We start from the raw sequence: 19,616 nt of genomic DNA, 5'->3' as shown, positions 1-19,616 counted from the left end.
AACACTTAGAAACACAGGAAGCATCAACCATACCTGCGCAGAGTGAATATTATTAAATGGAATAAATCATCAACTACAAATGCTTTATATTTCCTGCTGTAAATCACTGATTAAAGTTAGAATGATGCATTATTTTAATTCAAAGTGAATAGTGGAGTTGTGACTGAGATTCATAGGATAACACGTGATAAATACCTACACTATCAAGGTAAGGAGATGTGCCCCAAAGTATGAAAACAAGTAACTATAGAAAAAAGTATAAATTTTATTTCTGTGCAGTTACATTTATGGATCTAAATATTTATAGACTGTTTTGTCAAAATATTGAATTTTTTTAGTAAAAGCATTATTGAGATACTAAAAGCCTTATTTCAGGCAATAAAAAGTATGTAGTCCTAGTCTCCATGCTTTTATGACTTTATTTATATTATGATCTAAAACAAGCAAAACCAATCTATTGTGAAAAAATTTTAATTGACGTAGTCTGCGTGTAAAGCATTAAGTAGGAAGGTGCATTTAGGAACTTTCAGGTGTGGTGCAAATGATCTATATTGTGAAAAAGTATGGATTTTGTGTCTGTGTATCAAACCCATTGAATTGTACACTTAAGGTTAGACATTTGGGATGTGTCCAGTAGGGTCTACAAGACTACAGCTACCATGAATATTTTTGAACACTTCTTGAATATGTACATCATATCTATTGATTATACCCTGAGAAGTGAAATTTCTGGGTGTATTAGTTCTATCAGTTTGCAATAACAGACTATCACAGACTGGGTGGCATAAACAACAGAAATTGATTTTCTTAGAAGTTCAAGATCAAGGTGCCAGCAGTCTTGGTATCTGTAGGGTCTTACTCCTTGGCTTGCATAAGGCAGTCTTCTTGCTGTGTTCTCACATGGCCTTTTCTCTGTGCATGCACATTCCTGATCCTTCTTCCTCTTCTTATAAAGACACCAGCCCAAATGCATTAGGGACCCACCTTTATTTAACCTTAACTTCATCTTAATTACCTCATTTAACCTTACTTACATATTTAGGCTCTGTCTCCAAATATAGTCACATTGAAGGGCTAGCACTTCAAGACATAAATATGGAAGGGACACAATTCTGTTTATAACACTGGGTCACAGTATATATATAAAGGAATATCTCTAAATTTCTAGAGGTGTTTTTTGGTTTGGAGCAGACATAGGTACCTACATGTCCACCACTGCTACAGTGGTGTTGCAATGACTGCATTTGCTATAACAATACGGTGTGCCCCATTGTCCAAACTCAAATACATATTACTGTTTCACAGTTTGTTTACCTTGGAATCTATCCATTTAGAAAACAAGACAGCATGGAGATGCTGCAATCAGCATTAATATAGCCAAATACAGGAGAAGTTCTGAATCTAGGCTCAACCTTGGCTGCACATCAGAATTCCCTGGAGAGCTTTTAAAATTCCTATGACCATTCTGAACTCCAAACATATTAAATCAGATTCTCTCAATGTGATAACCAGGAAACAGCATTTTTTATCTCCCCAAGTGATTTTTCATGCCACTGTGGTTGAATACCACTGATCTACAGCTTCAAATAACCACAGTACACACGAGGACAATTTTATTAAGTCGATTATTTACTCACAATTATTTTTAGCCTCTTGCTATATTCCTCTCTTACATGCCAAGCACAGCTGGTACTTATATTAATGATAAAATATTTTAAATTAACAAGCTACATATGAATATGATATAATACATTCAAGGGATAAATATGTCTTATTAGTTAGTGAATCTTATATTCTGTGTAAGAAATGTGTCACTCACAGGTGATCCCAAGACTATTAAATATGAGATAAATTTTAAATTCACATTTAAAACTAAAGTATAATTTAGTTCAATGTTTTGTTTTTAGAGAAGGAGGTTATGCACAAGCAAGAAAGGAAGGTTGAAATGACCTCTGTAGCACTAAGTTAGAGTCAAGGATATCAGTATGAACTAAAGTTTAGTTTAATATATGGACCGATAGCTAGATATCAAAACAATTATGTTTTCACATAGATTATTAAATTTATACATAATAATTTGTTTGTGGTTAAGGTCTAAAAACAATGACGCTCTAGCAATAAGCACACTCAGTGTCTAGATGTTAGTTTCTAAATACCGTTCTCAAAAAAAAGAAACCAGAGCTCCTTGGAGTAGTAATTGATTCCAGCTCTGAGGCATAGAAAATGCAACATGAACCTGGTACATTTTGTAGGACCAGAAGGTAAGGAAGTTCTGAAAATACAAAGTGATGAGGACACGTTAGAGGACAAAGGAACCAACTGTAACCAATGGCCAAAGCTGGAACAATGTAAGCAAGAAAACAAATAACCTAGTATTAAAGTATAACCAATATAAAATAAATGTATATAATATAAAGGACTGAATAAATAATTAAATGGTAGAAAAGAGATAAATCTTTCTTACAGAAGAATTACCTTTAATACATGTAGAAGCTGCCCTTTCCAGAAGTGAAGTTCTTAGGTACACACACACACACACGCGCACACACACACGAGATTGGGCTTGACTTAGTAACTGGCTTTCAAAGGATAGACTAAGTAAGGGGAGAAACGAAAACTTTACAAGTGGAAAAACCTGGCAAGCAATACTTTAACCAAGTGATGAAGCTTAACATTCCAGTGATATCATGTGGATATTATGTAGCCCCTGATATGGTATGAGAAGGGCAATTCACCTCTGTGGTATTCTTCCCATAAACCCATAAGTTGAGTATAATCATCAGAAAAACATTTTAAAAACAACTAGATTGGAGGACATCCTGCAGAATACCTGGTCAGTATTGCCCCAGATATTGAAGGTCTTAAAAAAAACAGAAAAGACTGAGAAAGTCTCACTGACCAGAGGAGACTGGAAAAACATGATAACTAAATGCAATGTGGCATTCTAGATTAGTTCTTACAACAGGAAGATAACATTAATGGAAAATTGGTAAAATTGAAATTAACTCTGTAATTTAGTTAAAATACCAAAGTTGATTTCTTCGTTTTGACAAATGAACCACAGAAGTATACAATGTAAACAATGGGAAAAATCGGACATAGGATATACAAGGCCTCTTTGTACTATCTTCGTATTTCCCTCTAAAACTTAAAAATTATGTTGAATTAAAGTTTCTAAAAAATATATAAGTGATTGGAAAGATATTCCTCTATTTATAAAACATTGATAAACATGTTTAACTATCATAGACACCACAGAGAATTCTTCTTTGCTGCTATTAGAGTATACTTAAAAACAAATAAAATGTGATAGCCATTAAAATCTAAACAGCTGTTCTACAATAAATAAAATTGTATCTTATGCTATTCCCAATACAGCTGTTTAAGGAATCTGCTATGCTTGTTCTGTGTATAAATCAGGCATTAAAACAAAAAAACCCGTTTAGGTAAATGTTCCTTTAGAGTCTTTTTTTTTTTTTTTTACTATTATGTGTATCTGAGAATCTCAGTACACTGAAAAAAAAGAGAGGAAATCAGTTGTATGAATTTGTCTTGTCACAGATTTATTAGATGGAATTTTATTTCTCTCAACACTTCTTGAAACTGATTACAATTGTGCAATTTACTTCTTTGGAAAAAAGTGTTTAGCTTAATATTGCTACTGTTTCAGCATATATTGTTTCCATGAAATTTTATTTATGTTTTCGAATTTACTTGAGTTAGAAAATGTTCAAGAAATTACATTTCAACTCTATTTAAGTTTTAATTCTACTAAACCACAGTGGGCCTAAGGATTGTGTGAAAGAAACTGCTGCATAAAATTTCAGACTGCAGCTCCTCAAGAGCTAGATATAAAGTGTCAACTGAATGGGCTCTTTGAAAATTTAAAGCAAGAAGATGCTATAACCAGAGTTTCAGAGACCCATAGACTTATAGCAAATTAACGTTACGGTATTATACGTAGAACATCTTTTTTTTGTCACAAAGGGGATAGAACAAAAACAGTTCTAGTTTTTATTTTTGTTTTTGTGGGCACACATGTATATGTGCTCTTCTGCATACTTTACATTCTTTTTGTTTTCATTTGCCTCTTTTGCTGTTTTCTATGCCTATTTTCAAACAGGAGAATCACATTTCATTTTCTAATGATCAAATAGCTGGTATTTGATCATTAGAAAGGAAATGACATGTTAGAAAGGAAATGACAATTAACTAAAAGGTAAACTCGATCAACTTCTCAATAACTGCCTTCATTTCTCTAAACATCTGCGGTAGACTGTTACTTTGATGATTTCCCAGTTAACCATTCTGCCCCTATTTCAAACCTTATGTATTTCACCCCCCACCACTGTAACTGTTCGACATTTAAAACAAACAAACCAAAACTAAATATTAGAAATAACACTATGCTAGTTCTTGGCCTAGCCCTTGATTGGCCTATTAACTTTTTTCTTATACCTTATTTTCTTTAGGATGCTTGCTCTTTTGCTCCTTCTTGAAATCTAGCCACCATGCTATGAGGCCACCCAAGCAGCCAAGTGGAGAATCGTGGTCGTGAATGTCAGCCCAGCTGCCAGTTGAGTCTCCAGATGACTGTAGCTCCCCACCACCCCATCACCCCATCTCACACTACATGAAACAAAAGAACAAGCCAGTCAACCTACTGAATCATGAAGAGTAATAAATTGATGTTTTAAGACAGTAAATTTTGAGATGGAATCCTTTGTAGTAATAGATAACTACAACTTCATAGTGAATACTTAGATGTATGGAAGAACCATTATTATACATGCCATTTAGGATGATTGCTTCTATTATCAGTGAGTAATTGAGATAGGAAAAGATAATTGACAGTCTGGAAACAGCACCAGGAAAGGGTGCAATAAGTTAATTCCTCTTATAAGATTATATCCCTTCTTAGGAGATTTAGGAGGTCTTTAATCCATTAATATGTAGAACCATAGTCTAGCTCTCTGCTACTCAACATATAGTTCCTCAATTGGCAAAGTTAGTATCATCTGGAAGCTTGTTAGAAATATAGACTTTTGGGATCCACAACACACCTACTAAATTAGAATCTGCAATTCAGCACAATCCCTGGGTGACTAGTTTACACACAGGTTTAATAATAAGTGATTTGATAAAGGTGAAATCACACAATTATCTGATAGTATATTAATTTATTGTCTGTCCCACCCAAATTTTGCTTTTATCCAAATAAATCCCTCCTCAGACACAGATCTACCTAAGACATAAACCAAAAACTACTCAGACTTCCCTCACTCTGTCATTTCAAATTAAAAATATAAATTGTACCTTTTTAATATACGTTATGTTGTCCTAACATAATGTCATCACATTATCACTTGTCTAATTAATTCAAGTGGTCCGTATCACCCTTAGAATGTGAAAGTGTGGCCCCTACCATGGGTCTTATGCCTTAGGGGCCCCATGCTTTAGAGGCTTTTGTTAAAATGTTTAGATCCTCCTCTGGTGGCTGGGATTGACCGGGTCAGTAATCCCATCCAGCACAGTGCCTAGAGACTAGACTATTGCCCACCTAAGCATCAGTCAGTTTTCCTCTTCAACCCTAAACGTACCCTGCTCCTCATCCCACATCCCTCACAACATGGTGATATGGTTAGGCTTTGTGTCCCCACCCAAATCAAATCTGAATTGTAATCCCCATAATACCCACATGTCTAGGAAGAGACCTGATGGGAGGTGATTGGATCATGGGTGTGAGAAACACACTCGCCCATCCAAACCCAGAGAATGGACTTAGAGGCACTAAGAACAGCAAAAGTGAGACTTTTTAATAACCATCTTGCAAGATCGGGGCCGGGGGCAGGCACACACAGGGCAGTCATAACAGGTAATTTATTTCCTAGCACACAAGTCCCTCCCCCAGTTCCTCACTGGTTGAGTACTATGGGGTTACAATCTTCCTGGATATCACCTAAGTTTCATTATCTCACTTATAAGGTTGTTCCTGAGTCCCCTTTCCTGATTAAGTTTCAATTTTGCAATAACAAAACTTGTTTCCCTTTTATGGGCTGACCCCTCCTCTACATTCTGTTTGCTTATTGTGACCTTCTAGGTGCATGAGCTCTGTGGTTTGTTACATTCGCAGTCTGGCCACCAGTACTTAGATGTATCATGCCTTGAAAATGGACCATTTAAAATGTTTTCTCACAATGGGGATGGTTTCCCCCATGCTGTTTTCATGAGATCTGATGGTTTTATAAGGGGATCTTCCCCCTTTGCTCACTCTTCTCTCTCCTGCCACCATGTGAGAAAGTCCAAGCTTGCTTCCCCTTCACTTTTCACCGTGATTGTAAGTTTCCTGAGGCCTCCCCAGCCATTCAGAACTGTGAGTTAATTAAACCTCTTTTTTTTTTTTTTTTTTTTTTTTTTTTTTTCTGAGACAGAGTCTCTCTGTCACCCAGGCTGGAGTGCAGTGGTGTGATCTCGATTCACTGTCACCTCCGCCTCCCAGGTTCAAACAATTCTCCCACCTCAGCCCCCTGAGTAGCTGGGATTACAGACAGGTGCCACCACACCCGACTAACTTTTGTATTTTTAGTAGAGACAGGGTTTCACCATGTAAGCCAGGCTGTTCTCAGATCTCAAGTGATTCACCTGCCTCAGCCTCCCAAAGTGTTGGAATTACAGGTGTGAGCCACTGCATCCGGTCTAAACCTCCTTCCTTTATAAATTATCCAGTCTTGGGTATTTCTTTATTTCCCATGTTAGAATTGACTAATATAGTAAATTGGTACAAAGCTAGTGGGGCACTGCTATAAAGATACTCAAAAATGTGGAAGTGAATTTGAAATTGGGTAACACGCAGTGGTTGGAACAGTTTAGAGGGCTCAGAAGAAGAAAGGAAGATGTGGGAAAGTTTGAAACTTCCTAGAGATTTGTCAAATGGTTTTGACCAAAATGCTGATGGTGATACGGACAATGAAGTCCAGGCTGAGGTGGTCTTAGATGGAGATGAGGAACTTACTGGGAACTGGAGCAAAGGTCAGTCTTGATATGCTTTAGCAAAGGGACTGGTGGCATTTTGTCCCTGCTGTGCAACTTTCAACTTGATACAGATAATCTGAAATTGGAACTTGTGTTTAAAAGGGAAGCAGAACATTAAAGTTCTGCTATGGAATTTTGGAAATTTGCAGCCTAACGATGTGCTAGAAAAGAAAAACCCATTTCCTGGGGAGAAATTGAAGTCAGCTGCAGAATTTTGCATAAGTAACAAGGACCCAATGTTAATCACCAAGACAATGGGTAAAATGTCTCCAGGACATGCCAGAGACCTTCCCAGGAGCCCCTCTTAAGGCCTAGAGGCCTAGGAGAAAAAATAATTTCATAGGCTGGGTCCAAGGTCTTCCTGCTCTGTGAAGCCTCAGGACATGGAAACCTGTGCCCCAGCTGCTTCAGCTCCAGCTGTGGCTAAAAGGGGTCAATTACAGCTTGGGCCATGGCTTCAGAGGGTGCAAGCCCAAAGCCTTGACAGCTTCCACATGGTGTTGGGCCTGAGAGGGCCCAGAAGTAAAAAATTGAGATTTGGAAACCTCTGCCTAGATTTCAAAGGATGTATGGAAACACCTGGATGTCCAGGCAGAAGTCTGTGGCAGGGGTGGAGCCCTCATGGAGAACCTCTGCTAGAGCAGTGTGAAAGAAAAATGTGGGGTCAGTTCCCCACACAGAGCCCTCACTGGGGCACTGCCTAGTGGAGCTGTAAAAAGAGGACCACTGTCCTCCAGACTCCAGAATGGTAGATCCACCGACATCTTCCACTGTGCACCTGGAAAAGCCACAGACACTCAATGCCAGGCTGTGAAAGCAGCCAGGAGGGGGGCTGCACCCTGCAAAGCCTCAGGGGTGTAGCTGCCGAAGACCATGGGACCCTACCTCTTGCATCAGTGTGCCTCAGAATGTTAGATATGGAGTAAAAAGAAATCATTTCTGACCTTCAAAATGTAATGACTGCACTCCTGGATTTTGGACTTGCCTTGGGCCTGTAACCACTTTGTTTTGGCCAATTTCTCCCTTTTGGAATGGGACCATTCATCCAATTCCTGTACCCTTATTGTATCTTGCAAGTAACTAACTTGCTTTTGATTTTACAGGCTCCTGGGCAGAAGGGACTTGCCTTGTCTCAGATGAGAGTTTGGACTTGGACTTTTGAAATTATGCTACAACAAGTTAAGAATGAGGGACTATTGAAAAGGCATGATTGGTTTTGAAATGTGTGGACATGAGATTTGGGAGAGGCCACAGGCAGAATGATATGGTTAGGCTTTGTGTTCCCACCCAAATCTCTACTTGAATTATAATCTCCATAATCCTCATGTGGCTATAGACCTCTAGTGGTCTCTCTAGTGGTGGGAGGTGGCTGGATCATAGGAACATTTTCTTCCATGCTGTTCTCACGTTAGACTGAGTTCTCACAAGATCTGATGGTTTTATAAGGGGCTCATCTCCCTTTGCTCCTCACTGACTCTCTTGCCTGTCACCATGTAAGACATGCCTCTTCCCCTACTGCTATGATTGTAAGTTTCTGAGGCCTCCCCAGCCATGCAGAACAATGAGTCAATTAAAACTCTTTCCTTTATAGATCACCCAGTCTCAGGTATGTGTTTATACCAGTGTGAAAACAGACTAATACATGTGGGGTCAACCAGTTACCCCCAAAGAGTTTAGGGACTCATGACTTTGGAGTCATTCTGGGGCTCAAATTCCAAAGCAGATTGTTCCCACTAGGATGTAAGGTATTTGTTTCATGGGATCATGTGAAATGAGGCTACCAGAATGGTGTTGATAAACTGATTTTAGTGATTCTCATGCATTTTGGTCACAGGATGAATTCAGGGTACCAGAGCTTAGAGGATATCATCAGCCTACAAATGACCCTTAGCTTAACTCTGTGTAGGCCTGTGAATCAGCTCCTTCCTGTCATCCTTCCCATGCTGGTGCCACCTCCAGTCTACAGAACATGAAGGTATCAGGAGTGGTATCAAGTGTCATTTGCCCTATGTCCACCTTCCTGCTCTCTGCTCCCTCAGGTCAGTTATAAGCAATGCTACATAAATGATACCATTCTCACTCTGGCCACAGGCCCCTTTCCTATCTTCCCCACTAGGAGCAGTATGTGAAAAGCAACTTTCAGCAACTTTGAAAGAGATCATAGTCTAAGAATTCACTGATAAGAACCTAAAGAATTCAAGGAAGACATAGTTTTATGTTTACACCATAAAATGATGGACAGAGGATTTAACATGACCAGAAAAAATCATCATTCATATTTTGCTGCATTGTCCTTGCAAGACTTGCATTTGTAGATCCAATCAACTAAGCAGAATAACAACGTTGGAACAGTCATTGGAAGCCAGCATTTGTGATAAATGATGTAGTGCCATGACTCATGATATAACCTGCATTAAATCGATGGTGTTAGAGAACTGCAGTGATGAGAAGACCTGTATTGTTCAGTTAAACGTGTCCCCAAAACCATGGTGTTTGATATGGTTTGTCTCTGTGTCCCCACCCAAATCTCATCATGTAGCTCCCATAATTCACATGTGTTGTGGAAGGGACCTGGTGGGAAATAATTGAGTCATGGGGTTGGGACTTTCCTGTGCTGTTCTTGTGATCGTGAATAAGTCTCATGAGATCTGATGGTTTTTAAAAGGGGAGTTTCCCTGAACAAGCTGTCTCTTTGCCTGCTGCCATCCATGTAAGATGTGACTTGCTCCTCCTTGCCTTCCACCATGATTATGAGGCCTCCCCTCACAATCATAAGTATCTATTTTCGCTCCTTTATTTTAAATAACTATGTCTTACCAGAAATTCTGTTCAATCAAATTGTTCATATAGACAGAAGCTTTGCAAAGGATATTTGCCTTTTTCTAAAGTACAGCCCTGCTCACCTAATTATCCTGATTAAAATCCTTCTAAAGTCCTCTTCCATAATGGATAAAGTTCAACCTCTTAAATAATTCAGAAAGTCAATGATGGTCTGACTTTCTCAATGTGTTTATCTCTTCAACCTGAACAGCTAATGTCCTGGCCTCTCTCAATAAATAAAAACTATATTTAAATACTAATTTTTGGATTCATATACTATACTATATCATATAGTTATGCTTTTCATGCCTGAAAAGCCATTCTCAAATTTCCTATAGTTGGCTGATTCTTACTATCCTTAATCCCATACTATTCCATATCAGCTGTCCACTAGCCTGAAAATTTTCTTAAAAATATTTTTAGAAGATAATTATTTTATTCTTTATAAAACAACTCCTTTATAAATAGAGTGTTTATAGATAAAGAAACAAACAAATATAGAGAGAAACAGAGACATTCATATGCACCAGAGATTGGTCTCTCTTATATGTCTACCACAAGAGATTGGTCTCTCTTATATGTCTACCACAACTTCAGATGCAAACTCCACAAGGTAAAAGACCATATGTTATTTATAACTATATTTACTGGCATGGTGATTGATATACAGATAGAATTTTAAAAATCTCATTGTGGTTTTGACTTGCATTTCTCTGATGATTAGTGACATTTAGGAAATGTCTATTAAGATCTATTACCCATTTTTATATCAGATGATTGGTTTTTTGGCTATTTAGTTGTTTGAGTTCCTTATATATTCTGGTTATTAATCCCTTGTTGGTTGAAACATTTGCAAACATTTTCTCCCATTCTGTTCCTTTCACTCCAGTTAAAATGACTTTTATAAAAAGACAAAAAATAACATGCTCGTGAGGATGTGGAGAAAGGAAAATGTTTGTACACTGTTGGTATGAATGTAAATTAGTATAGCCACTATGAAAAAGACTATGGTGGCTTCTCAAATGACTAAAAATAGAACTACCACATGATCCATCAATTCCATTGCTGGTTATATATCCAAAAGAAAGGAAATCAGTATATTAAAAAACTATCTGCACACCCATGTTTATTGTAGCATTATTTACATTAGCCAAGATATGGAACCAACCTAAGTGTCCATCAAAATATGAAGGGATAAAGAAAATGTGGTGCATATACACAGTGGAATATTTTTCAGTTATAAAAAAGAATGAAACCTTGTAATTTCCAACAACTTTAATGGAATTGGAGGACATTATGTTAAGTGGAATAAGCCAGGCACAGAAAGACAAATATCACCTATTCTCACTCATATGTGAGAATTAAAGAAATTCATCTCATGGAGGTAGAAAGTAGAATGATGGTTACCAGAGGTTGGGAAGGGTCTTGGGAAGGCAGGGATATAAAGGGGTTGGTTACTGGGTACAAAAATACATTTTATTTCTTAGGTAGAAGGAAGAAAATCTAGTGTTCAATAGTACAATAGGGCAACTATAAGTTAATGACTTACTGTATATTTCAAAGTAACTAGAGAAGTGGATTTGTAATGTTCTCAACACAAAGAAATAATAAATGTTTGAGGTTATGGATATCCAAATTATCCTGATTTGATTATTACACATTATATGCTTGTATCAAAATATCTCATGTACCCCATAAATATGTAAAACTATTTGTTTATATAAAATTAAAAAAATAAATCTCAAATAAGTTAATATATACCTTTGATTGGATTGTCTAAAATTTATTTTGGTAACATTTATTTTTATTGCTGATGCCAGATATATGCATATTATTTTAAAAACTTGAAAAACGTAGGACATGAAGAAAATGAAAATCATAATTCTTTCATATTTATGGGAACGTATTTTCTCTTTATTTGTAAAAATTATGCTTCTTTTAAAATCTCAAACATGAGGTTGGTGTAAAAGTAATTGCAGCCTAATAATTGTTTAACAATTAGAAAAAGAATAATTTTTTTTCACTCTAGTCTTCTACCAATAAGATGGAATGGTAAAAACTGGAAGTAAAGTCATCCTAAAAATTGGTTGAAGTTAAATACAAATATTTATTTTAAAACTCTTCCTGTTTTTATATTGTAAATGGGAGTAATTGTGGATGAATGGTACAGTCCTAGGACATTATTTTTGCCCAGTGTAATTCAATGCATGGAGTGAGAAAGAAGAAAGAGAAAATATCAATGAAAATTATCTGCATAACAATGTAAAATGCTATCTCCGTTTTGGGCAGAGTATATTCTATTATCTCTCCAAGAAATGTTTATTTTCCTTAACACAAATTTTGACTATAATATTACCAAGAAAAATTATTGTTTTCACTTGGGTTTGTATATTTGCATGTGCACATGACAGTATATGTGTTGCCCAACAGTTTTTCCTAAGAACCCGGAAATTCAATGAATGAATGAATGAACATACTTTCACAGGATGCTGCTTGAGTAAACTCAAAGAATGTTGAATATAATGTGGCAATTCTCACCATAGACAATTCTGCCAAAACTTTCCCTGTGACCTGAAGCACTACCCTACTTCAACCCTGTCTTGCCCTTGTGGATTATGGTAACTAACATTGTATGACTGGAGGAGTGATGGTAGAGAGAGGATTAGGGGAAAATCTCAGGGTGAAACTGTTTCCTATGGGAAGAAGTTTAGGTTCTCCTAAAGCGGGTGAGCAGGCATGAAAATGCTCATAGAAGGAATTTCAATTTTGAGAGACAAGATGAGATACTACAGTTTACCCATTAGGACATCCTGCATGAAGATTCTTGCTTTTTTTTTTTTTTTCTCTGATCCTGGAGTTCAGAAACAGTCATAGCTAACATTTAGCTTCCAGTTTTGCCTTGTTTTTTTTTTCTTCTTGAAATTCTATCTAGTTATTTTCAAAGGCATTATTAAACATGCAGCTTTGTGGTCAATGCAGAATTAATAGATGAAGCTTTAGAAGAAGTGAGTCAGCTTGGCAGTGTCAGCACTGGGTTGAAGGAGGACAGTATTGTTAGAATTCCAAGTGGTAATCTCTAGCCTAATGTTTAAAATGTGACACTTTATTGTAATTGCTTCACTTATTCCTTAGAGAAATAAAATATTACAGATATTTTTTAAATTCCCAGAATTCTATCCCCATTCTATTTCCCACAGATGTAAGTAAGTAGCCTCTGTTGAAGCTGTGCAAATTACTTGTGTGCTTCCTTTCAGATTAGTACTGGACAATACATTGTATCTATAACAACATCCAACATTATTCAAGGTTTTTAAGTTTTACTAAAATTACATGTAATATTTTTGTGTTTCTGTGTTCACTCATCATTCTATGTTTTGAGGTTTATCCACATTGATATAGTTGATACAGTCTATTTTAACCACAGGATTGTGTAGCATTTTATAAACATCTTACAATTTATCCATCTCTCAGCTGTGGACTGTATCGTATTTACATTCTTTCCTAGTACAAACAGTGATGAGATGAATATTCATATATAGATTACTTTGTGCCCATGTAAGAGGTTATCTATGGCATATATTTCAAAATGGAATTGCTAAATTGTATGTTATGTGAATTTTCAAATGTAATTAACATTTCAAAATTATTCTCCAATAGGAACAATACCATTGTGGATGAACACAGAAAGGGGAGGGGGGGAAGCGATGTATTTTTGTTTCTTTGTGGGTTTGCTTTCTGTTTTCATTTTCTTTTTGCCTTTACCCAAATAGGATAGAACAGAGGTTCTCTAACAAGGTTGCACATTATAATAGCTAAGGCACATTTAAAAATTACCAAATCTTTGTTCCATGCTCCGATATTTTTGACTGCAATTAAACAGGAATTGGTCTTGGCCATCAGTATGATTTTAAAGCCCCCATTCCCCAGAGGATGCTAATGTGTAGTCAAGGTGATTAACCATTGCAACAGGTTTTCAAATTTTAGCTAGTATTAGAATTACCTGGACCAAAAGGCTTGTTAAAAGATAGATAGTTTGGCTCCATGCCCAGAGTTTCTGATTCAGTGCTTCTGGGGTGGGCTTGAGGGTTTACATTTCAAACAGTTTCTCAGGTGATGCTAAGCTGCAGTATAGTGCCTACACTTTAAGAACAACATCCCCACAATAAACAATGGGGAAAGAAAAAAGCAACCTTGACAGCTAGCACTAAGAGCTAGGCTATGATGTTCCTACAATTTCAAACACAAAAATAATTTAAAGTTACCCTGTACCAATAATGAACAAGATAAAAACAAAATCACTGTATAAGTGTGCCTCAACAGTCAAAAAGTAGAATTCAGCATGAACCACAAAAATGGTCAAGATTCTCCCACTCCTAAAATATGTGACTGTGGTTTCTTTTTCCTGTTACAACTTTAGGCCATCTTCATTCTTTCTGCCTCCTATGTAAAGATTAGTAATATCCAATCATATATTTGCTACCACTTTCATACATGACCCAATCCAGCAAAAACTCCTAATATAAGCCAAAATCACCAAACCAAGCCCAGATCCTGTAACAAGTCCCCCAAAACATGTTCTGAAACATCCATGCAGTAAGTAATAAAATTATCTTTGTTTGACTACAGGTATGTTACTGGTGGTGTGTCTTTGGTGGCCAATGATAAAAGTTACCAATAAAGTGGGGGTGGGGCTATATATATACACACACACACACACATATATATATATATATATGCACACATACACACTTGGAATACTACTGTACCTACGTTAAAAACTTATTTTACTACTATAAACAATAGACGTATTCATTGTAGAAATAAAGAGGATACATTCACAGAAGATAAAGAAAAATAATTGACCAGCTATCCTGACAAAAATGTTGTCAAATTAAGAATATTATTTTCTTTAGATCTTTCCAGTAAAAACATTATATAATTAATTGGTTATCGAACTATTGATAACACTTTTATATTTTTCACTTAGAATATGTTATAGATTTTTCCCATTATTCTATTGGAATTAACTAATTTATAATATCAACACTGATATTAACTAGTATTAATCATAATACTAATTTCTACATTACATATTTTAACCAGTTCCAAATTTTATGTTTCAGAGCAAAAATTCAATAGACATTTTCTAAAGCATAAATAACTAACTTCAAATTCTTAATATTTTCCATTATTATTTTATTTTTCAAGATGTCTCTTTCTTACAGGATTTTAGAAATATTCCTGTAGAAGAAAAGCAGCAACATGAATTGAAGCTATGCCCACTGAACTTCTCCCTTTAAATTCAATAAAATATTAAATTTCATTGCACAAATTTTGTGATCGTATTAAAGAAAAATGTGTTTTTATGTCTCTATATATGCATACATATATTTTGTTACATATGCAGAGGGTTTTCTGTACTGACATTTTCCTACTGCTGATATTTTCATCTGTGTGGCAAAAATTTAGGTTAAAGATAACAGCTCCTTTGTTTGTATACATCTGTGTAATACTGGAGTAAGCACTGCTTGCATTTGGTATAGTTGTTTTGATAAAATGCTGGTTTGACTTGCTATAACAATGTTCAAGATTTTTACAACTATTCATCGGTGAAACTTTTCTATTGATTCCTACTTTTTACTCTGTTATCATATTTTGATAAACATATTAATTTTGTAAAATTATTGGAAAGTTTTTATGTGATTTCCACAAGCTAAACAATTTACAAAATAGTGAATTTCTATTATTTGTAGGAAAGAAACCTGTTATATTGTCTTAGTTGAGATTAGCATACTTTTTAAAGATTATTTTCATAGCTTTTAATTTTGATATGAATAATGTTAACATATTCCATGTTTTGTAAAATAATTTAAGCACTTTTCTTTGAAAATGTCTACGTGTATATACCTCCACTTCATTAACAATAATTGAGACATAATAAACACATTAATATATGTATTGATGATTCCCAGAAGCTTGGAAATTGTTTTTTCTAGATTTAACTTGTTGCCAAAGAGCTTGAGTTTCTTCCCTTAGACTGTCACTTGAAGAATAGTCATGTACACATACTTTTAAAGGAATAAATGTATTTCTTTTTATTACATATTGACAAATTATAGTTGCATATATTTATTAAGTGTATGGTGGTGTTATACTTTTCAATGCAATATGAAATGATTAAATTAAGCTAATTTCTACATCATTACTTCAAATATTAAAATTTTTTATGAGAATATTAGAAATATATTCTCATAGCAATATTGAAATGTATAGCACCACACGTTCTTAATAGGCTAAAAACTCCCATGAAGAGAGCTCCTCTGTAATCAGCACCATTTAGAAGCTATTAAGGAAGACAGAAGCCTACAGCTTCATAGACATTTGGTATGAGGTTTTGTTTCATTTTGTTTCATTTTTAATACAATACTACTTCTAAAGAAGGATCTGAAAGTTTCATAATGGAGTTATTTTACCCTTCATCATCAAAAACAATTACCCTGAAACAATAAATCATAAACCATGCTACTGGAAACTTTCCCAACTCCAAACTAATAGAAGTGGCTTCTGGGTGTGAAATCTGGATTGACTCCTCTATGAAATTCAGGTGTGCATGTGTCTTTATAGCAGCATGATTTATAATTCTTTGGGTATATACCCAGTAACGGGAGGGCTGGGTCAAATGGTATTTCTAGTTCTAGATCCTTGCACATGTACCCTAGAACTTAAAGTATAATTTAAAAAAAAGAAAAGAAATTCAGGTGGACTCACTCACTCCTCCCTGGGCACAGGCAGTCATCCCTCGCTCAGTTCCTTGGATGGCCTCATTCTTCTGTGGATCCTTCTTTCTTGGCCCTCTCTTCCATGGACTCATCAGTCACTTTTTCCCTTCTACTCTCCTTACCTTTTATGGCCCAGCCTGCCCCTACTCTTATCATTACAGTTTCAGTCATTCTGTTCTATTATTGCATCACCTTTTTTGGACAGAGCTGGAAAGAGCTTCTGACATATGACAGAAGTTATATAAAGAGAACTGAAAGACAGATTCTCGTGTTAACTTCAAGTTAAAATTCTTTTATAATAGTTGTTGATGCTGTCCAGAATGGCAAATATTAACACCCCATCCTGTAGGTGTACTCCTTTTCCCTCAGCCAGAAACCTCAAGCATTTTCTTTAGTCTTTTTCTGTTCTGGTCTTAGGTCTTATGTAATATGTATATTAATAGTCATATTAATATACCTCTATATTAACTTGAATAACAGTAGTGCACATATTACTGGGTATCATATTGTTTTGATCCACCAAGTATACTTAGGGAATGAATGGATTCATAGATCCTAGGAATTGCTATAGGAATACCCATCTAACGATTTCTGTCTGATGCCAGAACATTAAGAGAAAATTGTCGTTTTTTTAATCTATTTTTCAGCATCACTCATTCTCTTACACAAATGATAGACACAAGAAAGCTACAGATCAGCCATTTCAGACTTCTTTCTTTCATTAGATGAAGAGGTTGGTTTCTGATGAGATGCTTCTTGTTTAGCTATTGAAGTGGTATGATTTTTTGAGCAGGAAAACTTTAAGATCATCTTGCATTTCAGCCTTTAAATATATTAATACTTCAATTTTTAAAATGGCAATCAAAAAGGGTTTATTTAGAGCAACTTTGTCAGAAACACGAGGCAATTTATCCAATAAGGGTTTCTCACTTCTCAAACTAGTAGAAGAAAAAAATTAAATTAAATTGAATATGTGTTCTACCCATGCCTTTGTTTTCTTGAGTATTTATTCCTTATATAGCGTAAGCCCCTCCACTATATTACTGGCATGAATTAATTTTGTTTTTCCACTTTAGGGAGCTCATTGCTGTTACTGACATCTGGCCCTTTATTTTCTGTAACAAATAATAAATTTAATATTCTTTTACTGATCATTAAGTGATTTTTTTTTCAGATGAAAGTTTTTAATGCTGGCCTAACACATGCTGTTTATTTAAGAGGTTGTTTATTTGGTTTATATAGGCTAATAAATTTTATGTAACAATGTTGTTTTTTAATAATTACAAATATAAGTTTGGCCAAAATCCAGTTTGATTAGAAAATAAGTGAATGTATTAAAATTTTTTATTTTTATAATTTTATTCTTATTATAGTAAAAATAAACATTTATATTCTTATTCTTTTATTTTATTTATTCAAGTCTACCTTAAAACATCTATAAATGTAATATGATTAGTAAATGTGGTTTCTATGATTTTTATAAAAGTGAACTTCATAAACCTTATTGTTTTTTATCAGACATGCTTTTTAAAAAGAGATAGCATAAACGGAACTTAATTTGTCAAATAAGGAGGACTAGATTGAGTATCCTCAGTTTTGTCCTTCATCAATAGGTCCAATTCATGCAAATGTTTTGAAGCAGTAATTGCAAGTTTATTGAACACAGCTCTAAGTGTGCTTAAAGTCTTCTCTACAGGAAAAGTAGGCAATTACAAATAGAAATTTCAGAATTAAACAACTTGGTCTAAAGTTATGTGTTCATGTTAAGCCAAGTATCTATGACCAGAAGATAATAACGAAACCTCTTAAAAGTATATTATTTTGATGTACTACAACTTCTGAAAGACTTCTGAAAAATGACAAAGCATTTCTAGATTTTTTAAGTAGCTTGAAGTAAATTAGATTGACCAAATACTTCCATCACATGTACTTAAGCATAGTCATACTGAAATGTTTGGAATTTGTTATTACATGTTACTTTCAACTCTCAAAACTAAGACATTTGAGAAACTTTTAGTCTTAACTTCACATGCTTTTTAAATTTCTTATTATTTAAAAAATTTTTGAGCTAAAAAAGAAAGACAAAAGTATAAATGTCTATTTATACATACCAGGGGCTATGATAAAGAAGCAGGTAAAAACTCCCTCATGTGCCCTAGACAACTGCTGCCTGAAAAGTTTGATTTTACAACGTGATTGAAGTGTATTAGTCCATTCTTACACTGCTATAAAGATACTATCCGAGTCTGAAGAATTTATAAAGGAAAGCAGTTTAATTGACTCACAGTTCCCCATGGCTGGGGAGGCCTCAGGAAACTTACAATTATGGCCGAAGGAAAAGAAGGGAGCTCTTACAGGGCAGCAAGTGAGAGAGAGGATGTGACAGCGCAGGAAAAATGACCATTTTTAAAATCATCAGATCTCCTGAAAATTCACTCATATCATGAGAACAGCATGGGGGAAACCGCCCCCATAATCCAATCACTTCCCCACAGGTCTCTTCCTTAACACCTGGGGATTACAATTCACGATGAGTTTTGGATGGGGACACAAAGCCTAACCATATCATGAAGTTTTTCTTCACTAAGCAAGATAAAATAAATAGTGAACCAAAGTAAATAGGGTTGTGTTTCTCAAGAAGTTGTCTTAATACTAAATAAGCTAATGAAAATTAGAACTGACATCGCACATGACCTTGTTGGGTGGACAAGCCAAAGCTAGTAGGGGGATAGGACTGGGAAATGCTATAAAAAGACTTAGTTATGGACACAGGAATGGGCAGAAGGCTTACTCAACACACGGGTTTGTTCACAGGACTTGATTCCCCACTTCTGAGAATACACTGAGCATGGGAATGTGATTTGAAAGATGCTAATGCATGGTCTGAAAAGAATTATTTGCACTGTATGTATTGTCACCCTCATTTATCTAGAGGGAATATGCCCCAATTATGAGAGCATTTCATTATGATTCCAAGGCGGACAC

The 19,616-nt window shown here is 35.4% G+C and overlaps 1 long non-coding RNA gene across 1 annotated transcript in view; it reads right to left on the bottom strand.

Annotated features, from left to right (window-relative positions):
• The window catches only part of LOC105370465 (uncharacterized), a 46,310-nt gene extending 29,479 nt beyond the window's left edge, over window positions 1–16,831 (bottom strand). The window contains exon 1 of the long non-coding RNA XR_001750926.1: window positions 16,621–16,831. This is a non-coding gene — a long non-coding RNA (uncharacterized LOC105370465). The remainder of the gene's footprint in view (window positions 1–16,620) is intronic.
• Window positions 16,832–19,616: the final 2,785 nt, after the last annotated feature.

This window comes from Homo sapiens, chromosome 14 (assembly GCF_000001405.40).
Source record: "Homo sapiens chromosome 14, GRCh38.p14 Primary Assembly".
Lineage (NCBI taxonomy): Eukaryota > Metazoa > Chordata > Mammalia > Primates > Hominidae > Homo > Homo sapiens.
This window is presented reverse-complemented; position numbering and strand designations above follow the sequence as displayed.